The sequence below is a fragment of the Homo sapiens genome, chromosome 8, assembly GCF_000001405.40.
Source record: "Homo sapiens chromosome 8, GRCh38.p14 Primary Assembly".
Classification (NCBI taxonomy): Eukaryota; Metazoa; Chordata; class Mammalia; order Primates; family Hominidae; genus Homo; species Homo sapiens.
In genome coordinates this window covers 6,533,860-6,557,990 of record NC_000008.11, presented here as the reverse complement: position 1 = coordinate 6,557,990, position 24,131 = coordinate 6,533,860, and the positions used below count along the sequence as shown (strand labels likewise).

General features: G+C 42.3%; 2 protein-coding genes across 19 annotated transcripts in view; one reads left to right on the top strand and one right to left on the bottom strand.

Moving 5' to 3' along the window:
• The window catches only part of MCPH1 (microcephalin 1), a 241,882-nt gene that overhangs the window by 90,518 nt on the left and 127,233 nt on the right, over positions 1-24,131 (bottom strand). Inside the window, exon 13 of one of the 13 annotated variants that reach the window (XM_011534756.4) lies at positions 2,541-2,725. The exons of 11 other annotated variants lie outside the window; for them this stretch is intronic. In XM_011534756.4, coding sequence (XP_011533058.1) covers positions 2,609-2,725 — 117 coding nt within the window. In that variant the 3' untranslated portion in view covers positions 2,541-2,608. Of the gene's footprint in view, positions 1-2,540; positions 2,726-12,262; positions 12,530-24,131 lie in introns of those variants that run through there. One more of the 13 variants, NM_001410916.1, reaches the window with a different exon arrangement.
• Positions 1-24,131, top strand: part of ANGPT2 (angiopoietin 2) — a 63,614-nt gene that overhangs the window by 5,255 nt on the left and 34,228 nt on the right. The gene's annotated exons all lie outside the window — the stretch shown is intronic.

The following is a 24,131-nucleotide window of genomic DNA, read 5'->3' as shown; positions in this document are numbered from 1 at the left end:
TCAGTCAAGATGAGGAAGAGGGGGAGGACGTGGCACAACTGTTTTGACAGGGAAGAAAGGAGGTGGTTTATATCTTTCCATATCTGGCCACAAAATGACAGCAGGGCCTGGTCAGCTTTGTGGATTTCCTGAGTTGAGATCTAGAGGATGCATACAATGAATCATGAACACGGACAGACTGTTTTCCAATTAGCTGTTCACAATTTCCAGGATGTTTACGGTACTTAATGGCAAGTCAGCAGGCAAACCATTCTATCTCTCCCTGTATATATGTATGTGTGTGTGTGTGTGTGTGTGTGTGTACACACACATATATATCATATTAAATATAAAAAATATATATTTGTTCTATAGGATGGCCCTGTAAGATTGGCTTCATTTGGCAACTGATACAGTCGACTCTAATTAAACAGGGCCCATCTAGACAGCCAACACCTATTCTCTTTTCACTACATCCTCCTTTGGCTTGAAGGAACCTAACAATGAGAATTTTCTCCTAAATTATTCTAGAATTATTCTGATATAAAGACAGCCACTGAACTTTGCAGCCACACCAGTCATCACGAAGGCAGCAATCGCAACAGGGTGGCTCTGAGTCACCTTAAAGCACTTTCCACACCTCACCTCATTTTGCCCCGAGAATATCTCTAGTACACAAGTATGGTAGGTATGGTGGATGCAAGCCTGTATATTTTTTTAAGTCCCTTATAAACACGGGGCATGCTAACACCAGTACCCTCTGCAGTTTAGTAGCCTTGTATGGATTGCCCAGCGGTAAAGCAAACACGGGAAAGCACGCATATCCCCTCCTCTGACAAAAGCAGAATTTTCCGTGGGGCTGGGAAGACTGCAGAAAACTGCTGAGAGGAGTGTGAATGAACATGAATTTGGGCAGAAGTGCGTTATTTCTCAGTTCATTAGCGTAAGTGAGTGAACACCATATGACCCCGCCCACCCCTCCTAGGTGGGGTTTCCAGTTTGGGGCAGGAGCCATGCAAGTTGATTTATTTGTTCAAAAAATATTTATCGAGTGCCTTCACATGTCCAGGCAGTGTTGGTTCTAGGTGCCTAGAAGAAGTCAGAGGGGGAAGAAAATGCCTAAAGCCAGGCACAGTGCCTCACACCTGTAATCCTAGAGCTTTGAGAGGCCAAGATGGGAAGACACTTTGAGGCCAGGAGTTCAAGACCAGCCTGGTCAACAGAGTGAGACCCCCATCTCTACAATGGCACGCAGCTGTGGTCCCAGCTACTTGGGAGGCTGAGGTGGGAGGATTGCCTGAGCCCAGGAGGTCAAGGCTGCAGTGAACTATGATGGTGCCATTGCGCTCCAGCCTGGGCAACAAAGTGAGACCCTAAAAAATGAAAAAAAAATAAAAAAAGACAATTCCCAAGAGTCTTGCCCCAGGGGGACACTATGCTTTGGTCAGAACGTGTAGTGTAGCAGCAGCTAGTATGTGCTGCACAGAAGGGGTAAATGAATGAAATGAGAAATTAAACACAGCACAAAGGGAGTCAGGCGTGTGAGGGACTGTGGGGTGGGGATGATGTTAAGTCCTTGGTCACTACACGGAAACCCTTTTATAAAAGGAAAATCAATTAGAACTATTTCTCAATGGTTGCTATTCCTATTACCCAAGTAATATATAGATACTGCAAAAAATGGAGAATATACAAAGAATGACAAAAAGTAAATATCAGGTATAATTATATGATTCTGAAATAAACATTCTTAATATTTAATGCCTATATGTATGTAAACACTGTATATGCTGTAGTACTTATTATATAGTACATATTTTAAATTACCTCTTTAACAATTTGTTTTTATTAAAAATAAAAAAAAAAGTGAGCCTGAGAAGTTAAGTCACTGGTTGACACCCTTGGTTAGTCTTGGCAGCAATTCTCGCCCACTGGGACATCGATCTTGAGACGAGTGCAGGGCACTCCTAGGCCAGCATCAGGCCTGAGATACCAAGTCCCCACAGCAGACTTGACAGATTCCGATTGCTGAGAGCACAGCTTTGTTCTCACCTCTAGATAGGTGAGATGCCAGCCCTTCTATGTGAGGATGGTGCTGAAGCTGCTAGGAAAACAAGCAAAAACAAGCAACTGGGAATATCCTGTTTGTAAAGGAACGATAAGAAATTCCACCTTGTAATAGAATTGGTGCAATTGGTATAATTGGTACAACTATTTAATCGTTCAGAAGACTAAAAACAAATTTATGTGGCTGGGTGCAGTGGCTCATGCCTGTAATCGCAGCACTTTCGGAGGCCGAAGCGGGTGGGTCGCTTGAGCTCAGGAGTTCAAAACCAGCCTGGCCAACACGATGAAACCCCGTCTCTACCAAAAAATATAAAAATCACCCAGGCGTGGTGGTACATGCCTGTAGTCTCAGCTACTCAGGAGGATGAGGTGGGTGGATCATTTGAACCCAGGAGGCACAGGCTGCAGTGAGCCAGGATGGCACCATAGTACTCCAGCCTGGGCTACGCAGTGAGATCCTGTCTCCAAAAAAAAAAAAAGGGCAAACCACCCCCCGTAAAACAAATTATGTTATAACCAAGAGGAAGTATACATGGGATATTCTTACAAACCATACATCTAGTTACAGCCCTGTTCTGGAAGTTGACAGGGGGAAACGCTGGATTTCACAGGACACCACTTGAAAGGCAGGACGACGAAATTCAGCCTCAGGGAAGTTCCATGTGGCCTTCTCTTCCCACTATTAGAGTTTGAAAACGGTTTGATTGTTATTGTCCATCTCACATTCTACAGACTGGATCACCAAAAATGGCCTGGCACTTGGATTATGTTAATGCTTAAAAAGAAAATGATGTGAAGTTGAATGATTTGATGTAAATAAAAAGAGTAAAAAAAATCATGGGTAGTGGTTTAGAATACCAGTATGAACCATTTGTTGGAATTAAAATGACTGTTTTATGTGTGGTTTAAAAAAAAGGGGAAGGAACTCTGCCTACCACTGCCTGGACTCTAGGTCAGGTGTGCCATCCGACTATCTTTAATATTTTAATTAGATATTTCTCCATGAAATCACCTTTCTTTTCTGTCCTAATCCTTCCTTGCACCACTTGACAAAAGATGTGAAACCTATTAAAAAACTCCTGAGAACTGGACTTAATCCTTTTACCAGAGCCCCTCCTGCAACCAGCTAAAACCTTTCTCTTTGCAATTCATCTAGAACCTGATTGAAACCTGTGGACTCTCCCGCTCCCTCCGAGGGCTCCTCTGATGGTAATTACTTTCTCCAAAATCAGACTGGTTCTCCCTCTGAGCAACTTTCCACATGTCTGTGAATTATTTTTGGAATCTTTACATTAACCTGACAACTTACCACCACAAAATATTCATAGTTGATATTTAATATTTTACTATTTTAAAAACCAACAACCAAATTAAAAATATACATTAAAAATTACCTGTCATGTAAAAATATGTAATTTTATAATTTTTTATGGACAATGGAGCTTTTTAAAGAGATGAGATACTAAGATATAGAAATCTTGGGAAATGGATTATTTTATCATGTTGACGATGTCTCATAGAGAAGCAATCATTTCCTGTGGGCTGATAAATTATAATCATAATTGGCTTTTGGGGGCGAGAACGTGAACAAAGTCTTAAAAGGAAGCAAGCAGCCAGCCTTTCCATTTTTTTTTTTCTCTCTTTTTAAAATCCAGATCTTGTAGGGTCTATTTCTCAATTTTGTCACATTTAGTCCAGACCACCTGGGCATTTGTCACACTTACTCCCATGTTAACACTCTTGATGACTTGAGGTGGGCTATCCAGGTGGTTTAATCTGGTGATAAGACTACTATTAGTCTAATATGGGTCTTATCACAAGGCTACTAGATACCACCCATATCTCCCTGTCTGAAGTACTCAGTATTTCAGGAAATACATTAGCACCTTCATTATGACTGTTCCGGCAAATTTCAGGGATGAAGGTTAAACCTGAGTTGTGCGCTCGTCTCTCTATGTCACTAACAGTATCCAACTGGACATGCTACACACAGAAGATTTCTATTTTGTCTGCCCAAACCATATCTTGGTAGTTATATTCAACAGCAAAAGGCGAAAATACGCCATGAAGTTGTCTTACATGTAAATCCACAGCCAGTGCCATCCTCAGTGGCTGAATCACGTGGGACTTTATAAGGACCGTCTGACATTCGCTTTTCTGCTCAAGAAGTCCCAAAAGGGGATGGGGAAACTGCCATTTCCCCTCTGCCTGAGGGGCCTCGTAGGCCCCAAGACCACCAACCAGAAGGAAAAGGGGAGAGGTAAAAAAAAAAAAAAAAATTTTGAGACCATTTCAGGGATTTTGTTTCTGGCCCCAGCCAGCCTCAGGAATTTAGCCAAACTATGGCAAAGGGATATGTTCATGTTCTCCCGTTGTTTGAATAAAGGCGTTCTATACCAAAATAAGAGGTATCTTGGACATGATCAGATTCAAGAAAATCTAATTTTTAAAAAAATGTTGACGTGTGAAGCCGACGCAATTACCATTAGACCAGCAAGCCTCTGAAGTTATTCTCCCGGTGTGCTAGTGTACTTTTAACTATGTAACCATCAGAAGACCCTAGTGAGGGCTGGCTAGGTTTACTGGTGCAATCTGAAAGTACACAATAACATTTTGTTGTTGTTGCTTTACTTGTTCCTTTTCATATGTAGTAAATGATTTTTTAAAAGACTATGTTTTTTAGAGCAGTTTTAGGTTCACAGCCACATCGAGAGTAAAGTGCAGAGAGTTCCCATATCCCCCCTCCGTGGCACACACACAGCCACCTCCCCTACGATCAACATCCTGCACCAGAGTGGTGCACTGGTTACAACTGATGAATCTACATTGACCCATCATTATCACCCAGAGCCCGCAGTTGACATCTGGTGCTGTACATTCTGTGGGTTTGGACCAATGTATGAAGCCATGGATCCACCATTGTAGCATCACACAGAGCAGCTTCACTGCCCTAAGAATCCTCTGTGCTCTACCTGCACAGCCCTTCTTCCCCTTAACCCCTGGCAAACCCTGATCCTTTTACTATCTTCAGTTTTCCCTTTTCCAGAATGTCATACAGTTGGAATCATAAAATATACAGCCTTTTCGGACTGGCTTCTTTCACTTAATGAGTGAGTTAAAAAAAAAAAAGCAGGAATAACTGTAGAACAATTGTTGAGTGATCTCTTGCCTTAATTAACTGGCCGAAACAATCACTGTGTATCTTCAGAAACGGTACCAGTTTTCTTACCTACATCAGTGAACTTGTAGGGTTATTATGTGTTTCAAATAAGATGATGGCTAGCACAGGGTGTTGGAAACTGTAAGATGCTACACAATTGCAGGAACGGTAATTATAATGAATTTTAATAGGAACACCAGAAAGACACTTATCAAGATCTATACTATATCTCACATTAGTTAAAGGTTATAATTCCAGTCACCCTAATCGGGTTAAATGTTCTAACTTCTATACCTCAGAGTTATATACCTCAAAGCACATGTTTACTCGAAAGATAATGAATTCCTTTTCGACAATGAAAAGGACCATCGTAAGTGTGTGTGTAAAATGTCTGTATTCTGCATATTGCATGAGTGCCTCTGTGGAAACTGCTCCAGTACTGTCATTGGGCAACACACTGCTGTGACTGCGTGAATATGGCCACATTCCATCGTCATATGTAATTTCATCCCTTCAGGTTCAGTGTGAGTCGTAAGCAATGCTGCTTCTGCATGTTGTTTCTATGGCAGAAGAAGGCAGGAACTAAATGAGTATTACAAGATAGCCCCAAACTACCTTCTAAGCAGGCATTTTGGGGTTAAGCAGTCAAGCCACATATCTTAGTAGAAAAGATTCAGAATTTCTTAGAGGTACCATTTCCTCTGATTTTCTTTGGGTTCCTGACAGCATTTTCTCTGCCATAATTTCTGGAATCAACAGATGATATCAATTCTTGGTCATCTACCGGGTAATTATAAACATTAGTCTGAAGATAGTTGAAGTATTAGAGTTTTATTAGACTGCGTAGTCTTTGGAATCTCAAAAAATTATTACATACAGATGTAGCTTAAAAATTCCCTAAACAAACTGGTCTTAATGGGAAATGTTGGTGTAAAAATTCTGCTCGAGAAAGTACGTTATTGTATTTTGCTGAAAAACAGAAAACCATCAAATCCCAACCACAAGCTAATTACCTATGCTTAATATTTGGGGGTATATGAAATTCCTTACTATTTTTAACTATTAAGGAATAGGTTCTTAAATTTCCTTAAACTTTTCCAACTTTAATATAAAAAATTGTTAATGACAGGAATTCCTGACCTGAATCATTTTTAACTTAACTGCACCAGTGACATGTTCTTAACAGTGTTGATGACTGGGACAAAAATGTTATGAGTTAAAAAAAATTAAGACTAATCAGAACACCAGCCCCTCAAACAACAACTGGTGATTTTGTGATGTGAAATTTTGCATATTTTCAAGTACAGCATGGCTCCCTTCTGGGTAATAACAAACACATAAATCCATGCATGTTTTTTCCTTTAATTGGACAACTTTTAATACATATAATTTGTTTACAGTTACATAATTGGCCTGTCCCGTGCCATGAAGGCGTTGCAGCTGACATGCATAGAATTAATTGATGGCACACTATTCTTCCTTTCCCCTTCTTCACCCCTAAATACCGCTACCACTAAAATAAACAGTCTCTGCATGAGAAAGAAGAAAAAAAAAATCACGAATAAGCAGCCCTCTCAGCTTAACTAGGACCCTTTCTCTATCCAGCTCAAATTTAAGTGATTTAAAATCCTAAGTCAGCATCAGCACAGATGGTCAGCTTCGAGTCAGGGGCCCAGGAGCCGTGGAAGGTAAGCACCCAAGGAAATCCCTTACCTAGCACACTTACCCCTTCTCAAAACAAGGGCCTTGGAGTGCCTTCACTTGTTGGTTTCAAAAGTCTACAGGGTTCTTGTAGAAAGGACACTGTTTATTAGGACAGCAGTCAGAGAAGGTCAAAACAGAGAGAGGCACTCCTTCCCCTTGGGCTCCTTGGGCTGTAATTGTGAAACGACAGTGGTGACCACGCTGCTGACCATCACTGTGGTGGCAGCTGGCATTTATCAGGTGCACGCCATGTGCTTACATCGTCTCACTCAATTTCACAACAGCTTGTCCTATATGGGTAAGAAACTCCAGCTCTGAGAGGTATCAGAACGTACACAGGCCGCAAAACTCTGATAAAATTTCTTCCTTTCAGAGCCTCTTACAATAAAACAGATTTTAAAAAGATTTCAATATAAAATCCACACCCCCTCGTGTGTGGGTCAGGAGGGCCGACAGACTTCACCACCAACGCCCGCCACCCTACACAGCCCACAGCTGTCACACCAGAAGCACACCCCTCACCCCGAGTGGGAACAAATGTGGAAAATCTGGGAAATGGTGAGCAGGCCAGTTTTGGCACATACCCTTGTTTCCGCTTCACCCCGGAGGGGAGGTGAGGACGCGCTGGATGCTGAGTGGTTGGCTTGGTGCCAGGGCAACAAGCGGCTGTAGAGACGGGGTCACCGCACGTGTCTGGGTGCAGCCCTACAGTCGGGGGTGTGTGCAACAGCCCCACGCCACACTGCCTCACTCCCAGGACCCACACACATAGGGAGAGGCAGATGCCCCGGGGATTCAACCTCCCCATGGCTGCTGCCTGAGCTGCGCATCAGTGACGCCGCCACCCTTCGCAGCCACCTAGCGGTAGCCAGTGAGTAACATCTGGAGATGGAGCCGACGCCAGGCGAGGGTTTCCAGGTTGTGCGGGGAAGGGATTCATGAGGAGGCACGATAGTTGGTATAAAATTGAAATGTAATTCTTTTGAAGACAGCGTTGTAGAAATAAAGGGTGGGCAACATCAGTGCTGACAGCAGGCACATCTTCCATTCACAGCACGTCCCCCGTCCCCGAATGATCACCTGGGCAAAGCCAACCCCAACCTTTTCATGGATCTAGCTGCTGGCATGGCTATAGCTAGCTCAGACTCGAGCCCTGCTGTCTCTGTTTTAGGGAATCTAGCTTTTTCTTTTCTTTTCTTTTTTTAGATATAACTTACACAGAATAAAATTCACAAATCTTGAGTGTACAACTTGGTAAATTTTTGTATCTGTGCGCACCTGTGCAATGACCACCCAGCTCAAGATATAGAGGACTTGCTGCCCTGCACGTGGCTCCCTCACGCCCCTCCTCATCCATATCTGTGCGCACCTGTGTAATGACCGCCCAGCTCGATACGGAAGGCTTCTTCCCCTGCAGGCAGCTCCCTCACGCCCCTCTTTGTCTGTATCTGTGCGCACCTGTGTAACGACCGCCCAACTCAAGATGCAGAAGGCTTCCCGCCCTGCACGCGGCTCCCTCACGCCCCTCCTCATCCATATATGTGCGCACCTGTGTAATGACTGCCCAGCTCAAGATACAGAAGGCTTCCCACCCTGCACGTGGCTTCCTCAGGCCCCTCCTCGTCAATATCCCCCTCTTCTCAACGCCAATCCTGACTCTGCTCTGTCACCCACCATGGGTTAATTTTGCTAGGTTTTGAATGTCATGTAATTGGAACAATCAGTACATACTCCTTTTTGGTCTCTTTTATTATTTCTGTGATGGATCCATGTTGTTGTGCATGTTAAAGTTTCTTCTTTTCCATCACCGTGCAGTGTTTCGCTGTATAACACAATTTACGTACCCATGGTACTGCTGTAGATTGACATTTGTGTTCTTTTATGGAAGTCAACACTTCAACACTCAACTGTACAAACCCATGTATCATTTTTCTTGTACTGCTATCTCTGAAATCTGTGGAGTTGGACTGACTGAAAGCTGTTTTGACTGAGTTCCAAGACTAACCTGCCTTCTAATGAAATCCACTCTGCAGAAAATACGCTGAGTGGTCTTGGTGTTTATTCCGTGATGCCCAGAACCAACTTTTGAGGAATAGATTGATTCATTAAGTACTGGTTAAACATAATTCCCCCCAGGTTATAACCAGAGGTTAACAAGGAGGTAGTGAAATACAACAGGCAGCTAAAAAGTGATGAAACTTTATCAACAGCCAATGGAAAAGAGGGTGGGAATAAAAGGAAGGACCCAAGGGCCTATCTGCTGCTCACTCTGGTCTTTCAAATCTTCCCTCCCTCCCTGATAGCACCTTCTTTTTTTCCAGCATCATCAGAGAGAGATGCTTGTTATACACAATAATTTTGCCAATGGGAGCTTGCTTCTGTGAGCACGAGGACTTTTCTTCCTTTTTTCAAATCTTTCTAAATTGCATTAAGCTTCACCTTCTATGACTTACGGCCATCATTACAAAAATCCATCAGGTGTACTTTCTGTACCTTGGCTCATCAGCCTGCCTTGCAAGTTTGGCTGGTCTGATCTTTCCTCTTGAGTGCTTGCTGGGACCACTGAAATGCAAGTAAGCTGCAATGAAAAACCCAGCATTTTCCTCGAGCTGGGCAGAGGAGAGCTAGCGACCACTGGGGATAATGGTTGAGATGAGGATCAAAATCCTAATTCTGAGTTATCACTGCCATTTTCGGGAAATTTCCTAGGCTAGCATGGACTTGCCCATGAAAGGCATCTAAGTGGCAGGGGACCAACAGCTGGGAAGTGACGCACGAGTAGAGTCCTGTCAGGTCTACACACACCACCTGAAAATGCCAGGGTGCAGGAAAGGCATTTTGGACAAAGCCTTCACGTAGGTTCTAACTTTGGCCTTCTAAAGTCAAAGCGTGCCGCCTCAAGCCACTCCAGGAGAAGGCCAAGATTCCAGTGGAACCAACTACTCATAATTTGAATCCCAAAGAGCAGCCAAAACTCCAATGTAGGTTCTTCCGCTAGGGGGGATTCAGTAAAGACACTAAACCACAAAGTTTAAGCTGGCACTTGGACCACTTAAATGTGAAACTAAATTTCTACAACTGAGGGAAGCGTTCAAGAATTCACTGCCACTGATAAAATTAAACTGGCTCGTAGGAGTCATAACCCAAACTAGAGAAGTAACCACAGTGAGTTTTGGTTAAAAAAAAAAAAAAAAATGGGGGTAAGATGACTCACTGAAACAAACAAACAAACCTAACAATAGGAAAACCTCTGCCACGGCTCCCTTCTTCCGGTGCTCCCCTGGCCCCGCATTCCCACCGGCATGGGAGCTTTTGTTCCCACCGAGTGAGTCAGTGGAGATGGGAATCTCTAGTGACTTGTGTGAACCAGTGTTGCTGCAGCTCTGAGAAATGGTGCTGCTGTGCTGTGTGTCACACACCGTCACTCAAAGGCACTCACTGTTTGATAGGAACATGTGCCCCTCTACTGATGAGGCAAGTGAGTCAGCCATTCTACGGTGGTCCAAAGTGCTACTGTGACTCTGCGCCCCTTTGATAAACAGAGAAACATCTCTGGAAATAACTTCTTCCCCTTCCAGTTGTTGAGTAAAAATTCAAGCATGCAGAAGAAAACGTCAGTTCTGAATGGCATGCTTTTTATAACTTATGGCAGTGGAGTGAAAGGGGAGAGGAAATTTCCACTAGCTTCCATTGCAAGAGACACATATGCAAGGCAAGAGGGTTAAAGAGAGGGGGCGGACCTCCAGAACTGAAACTAATTATGGGAAAATGATTCAAGTCTCTGTACTTTTACCACAAGCATTTGGAGAATCACACTGAAAGTTTACTTCCCGAATTGCTGTGGCATGCAAGTAAATTTGACTTTTCTGTATAATCTAATGGTATAAAACTAGTTCACCTTAGAGCAAGTGAGGATGGTGAGGAGGCAAACTATAAATTACAAGCAGAAATAGGCCACATGAGTTTTGTAAAACTGGCACCTATCTACACTTCCAAAAACGCATTAGCCCGAAGGCAACCACGGTACACACGGAACACGTGCATGTTGCTCTGAGAACGCTTCTTCCGAGGTACACCGTGGTTATAAATGCTGTTCACCTGAAAGAAGACAGGACTAACCAGCCAGCTTGCAAGGAACATGGCTGTTTTTCCTAGTGATTTCAGAAGTTAGGAAAACACGGAAGGGTACATCTTAATGAAGGTCTTACACAATTTATTAGTTCTTTTTGACTTACTCGCTTTCCGATAAACATATCAAATCATAGAGATTACAATTAAAGGCAATACTTGGATTGGGGGAAGGGGAGGAAGAGGGTACGTTGAGTTTATATCCTACCAAGTGCAAGCTTCTAGGCTAGTTGTTCTCAAACTTTCTCAGCTCATGGGACCCTTAGTGATTCACTATTTTTTCTCTATTTATCTCTAGGCCAACAGTTGCTTGTATTAAGCGGTTAGCTCCAAATAATTTAAGTATTTATGTTCTGACAATTTAGTAGCTATTTGAAAATACCAATATACATATAAATTGAGTTTTAAAAAAAGATCCTTTATTTTCTTTCTTAAGTAACCCCAGTGACGTATGAATGGAATATATTTGCCAGTTAGGCACACCTGGCTTCTCAAACTTTGGAATCAAATTGGACACTGCCACCTGCATTTTACGCTCTATGCTAATTTTCCTGTAGCACTTGCTTTTCACAAACAGCAACCACCAAAAACCTAGCTTTACAGAGGTACAAGCTGATACTGTTGAAACGGTGAACTGCTTTGAGCTATGAATTCTTCCAGTGGCTGACAGTCATTGAACACTGCTGGGTTGCCCTTGAATATTCAGACTGTCTCCCTTACTCCAATTTGTTTGCTGCAAGGACCCAGGGTGCCTTGGCACACAGTTTGGGAATTGTGCTAACTCATTCCACTTAATTTTCACACTAGCATAGCACAGTAGGTATTTATATACCTGTTTTACCAACCAGAAATGTGATGTTAGAAAGTATTGAGCCAGTAGTTCCTAAGGAACTGAACTGGGACTCACACCGGGTGTGTTTGATTCTCAAATCTGTACTGTAATGATGAATCTGTAATGACAATGGCTTCCAATGTCACAAATATCGCTACTTCCCCAACTCAATTCAATATGAACAAAGTTATTTTATTCAGTTTTTTATACTATGTCTCAAAAGTCAGAAACACTTGCATTGCAGTAGCTCAAAGCAGAACTAAATTCAATCGATTTCACTTTTCTCAGAGTAATCTTGTATTTATTCCAATGGGCAATGGGTAGAACTATTATTAATAGCACAAATCATTTTCTTCCTATACTTGAAGCCACTGAAATCCAACAAAATCCAATACATGACTCAGACATTTATTTATTTATTATTTATTTTTAGACTAATGGGAACCACATGAATTCTTTCTTGGTCTTCCAAGAGCAAATGCCTTTTATGCTTGATCCGGAAAGAATCGTGTTTTGGAATGTCAGATTACGAATATACATTTTAACCCTCATCAGATGGCTGGAATGGTTTAATCCACAGTTCTCTAAGATAGTTACTTTAAAATTACTTTTCCAAAGTTCATTTCATTAGGCATTATTTAGGTGCTCCTAGATGAAAACTGCAGAGACAAATAAAACCACCCATAGTAACTAGGGTCATAGTGTCACAACAAAACTTGTCAAACATTTCATTTCTAAATGTCTTTTAGTTTTTAAAAGAATTTTTGAGATATAAAACACAGGAAATGGATAAAGTATACTAACCTGAAATTTACAGCTTGATAACTTTTAAAAATATGGATTCACTCATGTAACCAGCACCGAGGTCAAGATCTAGGAAACATTTTCAGCACTCCAGAAGGCTCCCTCGTGCCACTGCTCAGTTCACAGCCTCAAACCCCTCCCACCCGGAAGACATTATTCTGACTTCTATCACCTTTAGTAAGTTCGGTCCATTCTTGAGCTTCATGGAAATGGATCATCTAGTAAGCACTCCTAGGGTGTGGCTTCTGTGACCCAACATGATGTCTGTGATGGCATTCATTTGACAGCGATCTATTATGTTATTTGTTAAAATGGAACTGCAGAGCATGAGCTCATCATACCAGTCTCCATGGAGCAACATTTAAAAATCAAAATAATAATTCCATTGTGAGAACAAAACTAGTGAGACTACTGACCAAAGAATCTGATGTTAGCAGGTTCAATCTGAAATGACATAATTGGCCTCAAAACATATTTCGAGTCTTCCTGATGTCGACAGTTCAGCAGATGTTATAGATTCAAGTCAGGAGGTAAGGGAGGCTCTTTTATGGCAAAGTGTAACTCTAAATGCTGTATCTGTGTCTTTATCTTAATGAATTCCTTCTTAGAGTGCCATTTTCTGTAAAAATTACTTTAGAATGAGGAATCCTATAGAAATAAAATATGTGCTTGCGCTTCATTTCATGGCCAAGTTGTGCATGTCGGTTCTTACTCAACCCTCTCCCCCTCCAATACATGAATGACACACCCTGAAAAAAACTTCGACAAACTCTCTCCGAAAATGACTTGGAAACATCCCTAGAGCTGGTATTTTGTAAAAAACAGTTTGACGTAACATATATTTTGTAGTAAAATACTCTCTTATTTTGGGTTAGGAGGTCTTGGAAGACATAATTACAAGTTCAGTGATTTGCCCAAAGTCATAATCACCATGTGCAGTTCACAGTCTCTCTTTCCAGCACAGTCAAACTATAATCATCACGGAACACAGTGCATGTGCTTTTAGAACATTTTTGCTGGACTGCTGGCCACAGACAGAAGTAGAACGTGTTTATGGGGTTTTCTATGGTCTTCCATAATAAACAGAGGTCCCAGCTTCACTATCAACATTTGAAATGGCAAATGGTAAATATGTTGATTCGTACTTGTTACACTTCCTACCAAATTTCAGATCAAGAGATGAAGATAAAAGTTATGTTTGGAAAACAAAAAGTTATACTATTCTCTGTCTTGCCACATCATCTAGGTATTGAATATTGTTTTGCTTTTGCTCCATTGTTTCTTATCTGAAAACATTCTACTGCTGATCAGATCTAAAACAAGGTTAAAATGCTTAAAATATATTGCAACTTTAAAGATTAAGGTGCAAAACATAGCCCCGTTAAATAATCTGTGTTTCTAATGTGAGTTATAAAAAGATTGCGCCCTTTCAGCTTCTGCAAAGCCCAGGCAGATGTACAGCTCCTTAAAGTCCATGCACACAGGGGGTTTAAATTATGTAAATAAATATGAAAATATGAAAAAACTCGCAGCTTTAAATACTTGGGAGAATGGGAACTGAACCAGAGGTCGAAGGGACAGATCATCTCATCCAATACAAGGGGTAGATTATCTTCCTAAATAGTTCAGAAAAGCACGAACTTCAGCGGTTATGAAATCATTACATTAAAAAAAGCTGCACCTACAGCTTTATGAACACAAAAATCAAAGAGGAAAGAACACATTTCTTTTCTGAAAATCCCCTGGCCTTATACGACAGCGCTTTTCCCTATGGTTTGGGCGGGTTTATTCCGCAGATGGGAGCTGGATGCTCCCCACGACCCACGCACATTGCCCGTCAGTGCGTTTTGCTCACAGGAGTCTCAAGTTGCTGCAGAGCACGGAAATGTGTGTTTGCATCCATTTACTCTAACCCAGGAAAGCACAGAGAGAAGGGTGTCCAGGCAGGAGACGAGGAGCAGTTCGTTGGAGAGCCATCACCCATACTGAGAAAGTAACTGTACAAACACATTTGCGGACGGCGGGTCAGTAGTGCATCTTCATGTACAGAAGATGGCTTGTGTTCCCGCTGAGTCTTCGTGTAAATTAATCCTGTGTATTTTGAGCATCTTCCAATATTATCTCAAAAATTCTATCCATTGGAATTCTTTCAACTTTTTGGGTGCTAGCAGAAAGAGGAGATAAAGAAGCAGAAAGTCTTGGCTGGGGGTGGAGTTGCGGGGGTTTCTGTCCAGAGGCAGTGGGACCCGGCAGGGCACGCACAGCCCTGCTGTGAGATTTCTCAAGCATTCCCATCAGCATTCCCAAGTCCGCTCCTCTCCCTTTTTAAAACAGAAACAACACACGCTTCCTGCCGGCCTTATAAAGGACAGCAAAAACTAGTTTGCCTGGAAAATGTCTTCTAGAAAATTATCTAAATTTAGAAAATCATCTAAGTTTCGCTAGCCTTTTCCCTTTTCTAGCCATTTAGGATAGTCATTGTGACCAAGTAAATTCAGTTTATTGGAAAAAGAAAAAAACTGCCCACTTCAGAGATGATCATGCTACCTCCTCCACAGAGCTCCACCCAGTATTTTGGCAAACCCATGTAACACAGAAAGAGACAGCAAAAACAGGGCAGAGAGGAGACGTAAAAGGCCATCAGTATCTTTATACTTCATTTCAAAAATGAAAAAGTAAGAATGTTAATGCTCCTCAGACAGCACTTTTTTTTTTTTAAGATAAGAATAGGCATATCAGTACAGCGATGAGAGTGCGGGATGGGGTGTTGGGAGACCAGGGTTTAAGTTAGTACTCTGCTACCAGCTAGCACTGTGACCCAGGCGCTAGCGTCCCTCTTACAGTGACACTCCGACAATATTACAGGGTCTAAAGCCTCCCGCCATTGCCCACCAAGCTTTGGAATGTCTATTTCTTAGAGAACTGAAACACACACACACAAGTTTTGGAATGTCTGTTTCTTAGAGAACTGAAACACACACACATACATACACACACACACAGATACACACACACACACACACACCCCTACCTCACATGTGTAGACAAATGTATGCATATATGTCTCTAGACAGATATACATAAGATTCTATTTGGCATAGAAAAACACTGAGACATTTTGTTACATTATTATTATTTTTTCTTTCAGTGTGCCTTAAATTCAGAAAGGCAAGAACGCTCTAGTTTCATTTAAAAAGGAAGTTCCTGGTATATTGTAGCCTAAATGCATCAATCTCATTCCTAGAGCTAAATTTTAACTGCTTCTATTTGTAATCATTTATCATTCAGTACTTTTTTTTTTTTTTTTTTGAGATTGAGTCTCATTCTGTCACCCAGGCTGGAGTGCAGTGGCACGATCACGGCTCACTGCAGCCTCAACCTCCTGGGCTCAAGCAATCCTCCCACCTTAGCCTCCTGAGTAGCTAGGACCACAGGCATGAGCCACCATGTCCAGCTAATTTTTAAAAAAATTTTCTGTAGAGATGGAGTCTCGCCATGTTGCCTAGGCTGGTCTTGAACTGCTGACCTCAAGTGATCCTCCTACCTTGGCCCCCTAAAGTATTGGGATTACAGGAGTGAGCCACTATGCCCGGCCCTACATTCAGTACAGTTTTAAAAAGAAAATAGTTTTATATTTTCTTCTATCTCTGTAGGGAAAACATCACTACTATCTTCTAAGCTGAGAATTTAACAAAGTATCCCAAAAAATAGACGAATGGCAGAAGTCTGCAGAATAACTCAGAGGCCACCAAGGACCTGCCGAGCGTCTCCGCATTCGCTCTGCTGCTGCAACCTCATCTCACTCCTGCATGACAACCCTGGCTTTGGTTTCCTGTCTCCAGGCCTGCCCTGCCCCAATCTACTAGAAATATTGTCTTTCTCAGAGCACTGCTTTTCCTCTCCTCTCCTCTCCAGCGCTGCTGACTGGGGGCTATAAATACAAGCTCCCCTTCCACGTGGCCCCGAGTTACCCACTAGCCTGTCTTTAGCCACTGCCCACAGCCTGGGGCCCATGAGACTTGGGGTGGGCACTGACTTTCTCTAAGCCTCATTTTTCTCCTTCATTAAAGGGGCCTCAAAGCATCCCCTGCTGTGTCAGGGAAACCCTCTGGTGCTGCTCAGAATTCACCCTCTTGTGCTGCTCGGAATTAACCCTCTGGGCCCAACTTGCTCTTCAGGACATCTCAGAGACAGGCCTTGCCTCAGGCCTTCCCACAAACCCCCAGGCCATGCCTAGGGACGTTGGCTCCAAGCTGCCTCGGGACACCCATGAGAGCCTCCTCGGCACTCTCGCAAGCACAGCTCCAAAACCTGGGTCATGAATGCCCACTAGGCTCCACCTGCCCCCTGGGGACAGCAGTCCCCATTCTTGCCCCAGGTGGATGTTCTGAGACACTGTCCCAGGGCTCCTTGGGAGATCCTGTGGGGCTTCTTACCAGCCAGCGCGGCGGTGGCCGCCTGAGTCCACGTGTGCGAACCACCCTGCGGCGCCCCTGCCTCCCGCGCCTGTTCGGCATGGCTGCGCTCTGGGACCACTGCCTAAATAAACTTCCTGCATGCCTGCCTTTGTCTCAGGCTCTGCTTTTGGGGAAACCCAAGCTAAGGCAGTGTGAGAATCTGGTGAGACAGAGGTACACACACATACACACTGAGAAGCATTTTGTCATTGTAAGCTGCTGTAACTATTCTTGCTGTGTATATATCTATATATGCAGACGTGGCCTGACAACGTCTGTTGCACTGTATTTGCTCCTCATCTTCCAGGAATCTGTGCAAGTGTCAGGTATGCATAACGTGCCATGAGGCTGCACGCTCACAGACATCTGGTAAATATACATGTGCCCTACAAGACCTCTAAAAGACACTCGTGTAAAATGTGACACCTTTTGCATATGAAATGCCCAAAGAAATTTACATGAGGTTACTACAGCAGTCTCCTTAAACTTACATATATTTAAAATGCCTGCTATTGATGAGAAATAGCCACTTTATCAGTAGAAAATAAATGGAACATTTTGAAGGGAAAAGCACATTTCCTTATCAAATTTTGGAGTAGTGGTAAGGGAAACACACAAAGAGGTAAAATGATATGAATATATGTGGAAAAACATATATTCAAATATATGTGAAAAAAATTAATGCAAAGAATATGCAGCTGCACTCAAAGAAGAGCAAAGCGGATAGGATTTGCCAGAGCACAGACATTCTGGTACACTCAAATTACTGTAGGGTGTACCTATCCACAGGAGGAGAGGCATGGACTATTAATGTTAGAATGCCACCAGCTGAGGCCCACAAACTTATTTCCTAATACATCTTGGAGTTATATAGTGGCCAAAAGTGAACTTTCAGTCTCTTATACTAGCGAAAGTAGGAAAGGGGTTGGTTATCTAGATACAGTATCAGATAGTCACTCATAAATTATTAAATGGCCAGGCACAGTGGCTCACACCTGTAATCCTAGCACTTTGGGAGGCCAAGGCAGGCAGATGGCCTGATGTCAGGAGTTTCAGACCAGCCTGACCAACATGGCGAAGCCCCATCTCTATTAAAAATACAAAAATTTCCCAGGCATGGTGGTGTGCGCCTGTAACCCCAGCTACTTGGGAAGCTGAGGCGGGAGAATCGTTTGAACCAGGGAGGCAGAGGTTGCAGTGAGCCAAGATCACGCCGCTGCACTCCAGCCTGAGAGACAGAGCGAGACTCCATCTCAAAAAAAAGACAATAAAAAAGTATGACTAGAAAAAAGCAAAAAGGCTAGATCAGAACAGATCCATTTCAGGAAGTGCTTAAAAGACCCTATGTGGGCAGGCGTCCATGTGGTCAGGGCAGGTGAAGGCAAGTGTGCTCCCTAAGAGAAGTCACAATACCCACTAGGAAATTGGCACCAGAGGCCAGGCTTCCCTCCCTCGGCCTTTAGCTTTTGCCTCAACTTCTAGGGCCTTACACTGAACGTGAAGAAAAGGCCAAGACTATAAAAACAGTCAACAGATGGCAAGTAGCTTTGGCATGGGCTTTTCTAGGTTCTAGAAATTCAAATCTGGCATCAATATATGGAGAAAACTTGCTTCCCACGTCACAGGGCATGTGAACATCACCTCTCACTGTGGGTACTGTGCCTACCCCCCAGGCTCTGGCGAGGGGTTTAGGAGGACAAAGTGCTGCCCAAAATCCGCATCTCCCAGCCCTTCCCTCTTTAGGCTCAGCCTCTGCCATGAAGTACTGCTGAGTACACAGCTGCTTAGGCAGCAAAATCTCCAGAATAAACACACACACACACACACACAAGCCCAACTCTAAAAGGAGGGGGAGGAGAGCCCAGTTTTGCCACTTTTCTGTCTGGAGACCTCAAATGATGTTTCAGAGTTTCCTCATGACAGGGAACCAAGAACATTAGGTCAAAAGCCTCCCAAATAGAATATCCCTGGATTTAATAATCTTACACTCAAGTTTTCAAACTAATTCTAAGAGTGGATGTTTTGCTTGTTGTTACTAGGGTGTATATGTAGAATGGTTGCAGAGTTTGAGGATTCTGTTCACTCTTCACCAAGCAAGCAAGAACATTAACCTATTGTCTGTGGAGATTTAAAATGAAATGACACAAATACAAAATGGTTTTGATATCAAAAGGAAACACAAAACGAGTATCTTTGCTTAGGGCATGCAATGGGGGATGGTGGGACCTGAGGAGGAAGAGAAGACTCAAGGAGGAGATACAAAGGCGGCCGTGGTATGAGGCCGCTGGGCAGCTGGGACAGCCAAGGACAGTGCGCGCCCAGGTCTGAGGCCCACAAGATCAGGGGCGCCAGTCAGGAGGCGGTGTGTGTCTTAAAAAGAAGGAATCTGGACCTTATCCTCAGGCAAACCTGCAAGGGAAGAAAGTGAGCTGCGGTCACCAGCTTTGCATGTGGATTCCTGACTCTGACAGCGGGATGAAAGGAGAGCAGCTGGGGGATGCGTGGCCAGCAAGAGACAGAGAGGACAGTGGACCCTGGGCGGGAAGATGGGATCATGGGGGGTAGAAAACGTGTATGTGTGTGTGTAAGACAGATGGTTGCAATATCTTATTTCTAAATAGAAGTGGGCAACAGTAAAATGTTTCCAAGGAAATCTCAAATTATTTGTGAATTTACTAGAAAAATTCAAGGGTTTACTAGAAAAATGGAAGGGCTGGGTGGGAAGATGGATGGATCATTGGGATAGAAAAACGTGTATGTGTGTGTGAGAGATGGTTGCAAAATCCTATTTCGAAATTGAAATGGGCAACAGTAAAAAGTTTCCAAGGAAATCTCAAATTATTTGTTAATTTACCAGAAAATTCAAGGTCTTTAGACCCTCTGATTAATTAGTTTTTGTCCACCTTAGGTCACTCAGATGGACAAAAACTAATTAGTAAAAAGGTCTAAGGACCTTGAATTTTATTTAAATAGAAAGGATCTCTCAACCAGCATCTACAGTTGGTGAGAAATCAACATCAGAATCTCCAAGTTGGGGATAGTTTTCATATATTATCTATGTTTTCCTTTACTGAGCCAGTTTCAAGATTACTTTTCTTTTGGTATAAAAAATAATGATGACAATCTTGGTGAGAAGGAAGATAGCCAGATAAACTTTTAAATGTGTAATCAATCTGCCATAGTTGCCTCACAAATGGACCTATTTTTCCTGTCAAATTTGATCATTCAAAACGTTGTGGGAGTAATAAAAAACTTCAGAACATATTTTGCACTAAAATATATATATATTAATGTAAACATATATATATATATATGTTGCATTAAAATATTTCATCCTGGTTGCTTGAGTTTCGATGCGCTGCCAAGTTTTAAAGACTATGTCTGGGGCGCAACTCTTTTAGCAAATCAAATAACACTAAGCAGCAAACCATGCAGCTAGAAGGATCACTGTGGCCCTCAATGTTAAACTTGCATAACTCACTTGAGTTCTGAGAAAGGAAGAACAGCCCAAGGCCCCACACTTTGCCGACTGTGTCAACCATCAAGAAGAGGACAAAATAAACACACACTGTCCTCGCACACATATACAGCAGGACCTATTCAGACACGTGTGCCTACAGATCACGCTCATGGAATAATCCTCTTCAGATATGAAGGCGATGGCAAACATTCCTGCGAAACATGAATATGTTTCACATGCTATGCATGTGAAATTGGAAAGAGCCGGGTCCCCTCCCACGGGAGGTTCAAGTATCTTGGAACTGTTTTGATGAGAGCAGTTCGGTGCAGATGACAGGGATGGGAAACATTCTCCAAAGGCAAGTGGAGTTTGGTGCTGCCAGTGGAGGATGGCTTATTTACTGGGTTGGTTTTTTTTTTTTTTTTTTCTTGTACTAAGACTTCCTTATACTTAGAATGGAATTTCATATTTCTGGGCAGGTTTCTATATTTCTGGGTTTCAGTCACAGCCAGTAAAAATAAGAGAGACACTAAACAGAAAGACATTCTAGGACAATAAACTAGAAAATAACTAATTCATCAAGGTCAAGAGACAGGGAAATTTCAAGGTCTGTCTATCCAAGTGGATGAGCCAGATGGCTTTGTTTCTAGGTTTGTTCTCATTATCCTTGATACGTGGTGATTTATGGAAAGGCTACATTAAATGGGACATCTTTATTTGGAAATGTTCATTTTTATACTATATGATGGACATCCATAGTCTTTCTGTACCTCTAAAAATTACTACTAATCTTTGGAAGAAAACACAGATTCTTTTGTCAGGATGCTCCCAGAAGATAGAATTGGCATTGGTCATCTTTAATTCTGGGCTTTTCTGGTGGTAAAAATGGCCCTCCACTGAGGGGTGGGTGGTCTGTCTGTTTTCTTAAGGCATTGTGAAGCCTGGAATTGGAAGGCATACTCAAGCCAATTTTGAGATATATCACTTTGGCTCTTAAAAGGCTGGAAAAGTATGAAGCGGCCTCTGGGTTGAGCTAACATTTTGCTGAGGGTCATTCCAGTGCTCAGCCCTGCATCCACCTGTGCTGATGTGAGGCGCCTGGGATCCCGACACAGCGATTCCCATACAGCACAGGCAGTGCCGGCAACCAAGAAACAGTACCTACCATTACTGTGGCTGTTCCTGTCGCTAGTGTTTCTGGGGCTAAATATACAGTATTCTTCCTTGTTTTTAAAGAGTACCTGACTGTCACATCATATATTTCTCTTAAAACCTTAATTTAATGACTTCAAGAGTAAGAACATAAGTATTTTTACTTTTAATTTTAATTTTTTTCTTTTTTTGAGACAAGGTCTCACTCTGTCGCCCAAGCTGCAGTGCAGTGGCACGATCATGGCTCACTGCAGCCTTGCTCTCCTGGGCTCAAGCAGTCCTCCCACCTCAGCCTCCCCAGTACCTGAGACTACAGGCTCGCACTACCAGGCCAAGCTAATTTTTTTTTTTTTTTGTATTTTTTGTAGAGATGGGTTTCACCATGTTACTCAGCCTGGTCTCAAACTCCTGAGAGCAAGCAATCCTCCTGCCTCGGCCTCCCAAAGTGCTGGGATTACAGGCATGAGCCATCACGACTGGCTCAAATATCTTTTTAAATCAACACAAAATATCTACTACTGCACATTTTTGGTTCTGTTCCATTCTTCTCCCAAAGACTTCAATTAATTAGCAATGCAGTCAGTATCACACAGAATTTTCTTTTATTTAAATGATACATGCTTCAAGAGCTGTATATATTTATAGACACTATATACATATATGCTATATACCTATCTGTATATACACACATCATGTGTATTTGTAATCTGCTTTTATGTAAGATTAACATAAATGGACACACATTAGCTCACCCACTGTGAACCTATACTTAGTCATCCTGAATAGCTAAAAAGTAGCAATTTAAAAAGGATCTTGCATTCTATTGTTTTTATGTTTAGAAAACAATATGGCAGGTTAAGAAATTTTATTTTTTAAAATTGGGCCTGTATGTCTTTCAAAGTTCCTAAGTTTAATTTCAAATTGGAATTTGACTTTAAGTTTTCAATTATAAACAATCCTCTCATATCTCTGGAGAGTTGCAAACACATCTGACTCAGTAGCTCTAGAAATGGGGGAAGGCAGTATTAGAGGATTCATTTTCCCTCTCTGGTTGTATGATTTAGAGTGACAAAATACAATAATTTTTATTTAGCTCTTAAGTACTGAAATCAAGAAGGAGGTTAAGACTTTTTATTTATACCACTTTGTAAATTATTATTTCTGAGTATGGGCTTAAACTAAACTCCAGCTGGAGTCTATCTCTATAGTTCCAAGCCTCCCGGAATGAAACTTTTTAAATATTATCTTGGCTGGGGTGCTGTGAGGAGTAACTAAGACAGTGCCTCTGGGTGACACACAGCTTTAACTGCAACCTCAAAAATTCCATTACTCCCATGGCGATGAGCGGAGGGGAGAATTACGAACTGCTATTTATGGCTTCTTTTAAATAGTTTATTTCAATCACAAAAGTTACAGTTTTATAAAGGCAGGGGAGGAAGGAGAAAGAATGAATTAAGAAAGATCACACACACTAAAAAGCCTGAGCTAACTCTGAGAAACGGTTAGTAAGATTTCAGACTCTTCACATTTTATGAAGCCTATAATAGAGATGGTTGCTGGCCTGCCGGGTATCAGTGACTGATTTTTTATTTTTTTAAATTTTTAAAAATTTTTTAATACTTTAATTTTTTAAAGTAGTGGTCTACTCTGTTTTGGTTCATATGGAAAACTAAGGCTTCAGCCAGATGTGCTGGCTCACGCTCGTAGTCCCAGCACTTTGGGGGGCTGAGGCGGGTGGATGGCTTGAGTAACATTTCAACAAAATGATTTTACACATGCTTGGAGCTCTAGTACAACTGTCCCTTGATGTCTGTGGGGGACTGATTCCAAGATTCCCGAGAATACCAAAATCCACGGTGCTCAAGCCTCTTCCGTAAAACAGGGTAGATCTGCATATAACCTATACACATCCTCTCGTATACTCTAAATCATCTCGAGGTTGCTTAGAATACCTAACACAATGTCAATGCCATGTAAATAGTTGCTATACTGTATTGTTTTACAATTTTTGTTTTTTATTGTTGTATTGTTATTTTTTTTTTAAAATATATTGATGGTGTGGTTGAACCCGTAGATGTGGAGGCCACAGATGGAGGGCTGACTGTGCCTCTCATGCATCCTGCTCATCTGACCCATCCAATATCCACGGGAGAACGACTGCCAGGGAGGCAGCCTTAGTGACCAGGCTGAGGGGCATGCAGGGAGCTGGGAGCTTAGAGAAGTGGGGCAGAGTCGATGGCGAGGGGGCATCGGAAACAGGAAACTTATAGTTCCAGCCTAATCCTAAAACCATCTGATACCAGTCACAAGACACAATCTATGAAATGCATCAACAAAGAAGCTCTAAGAGAGAAACTCTACCCTTCCCATCCTATTTTCCTACTCTTA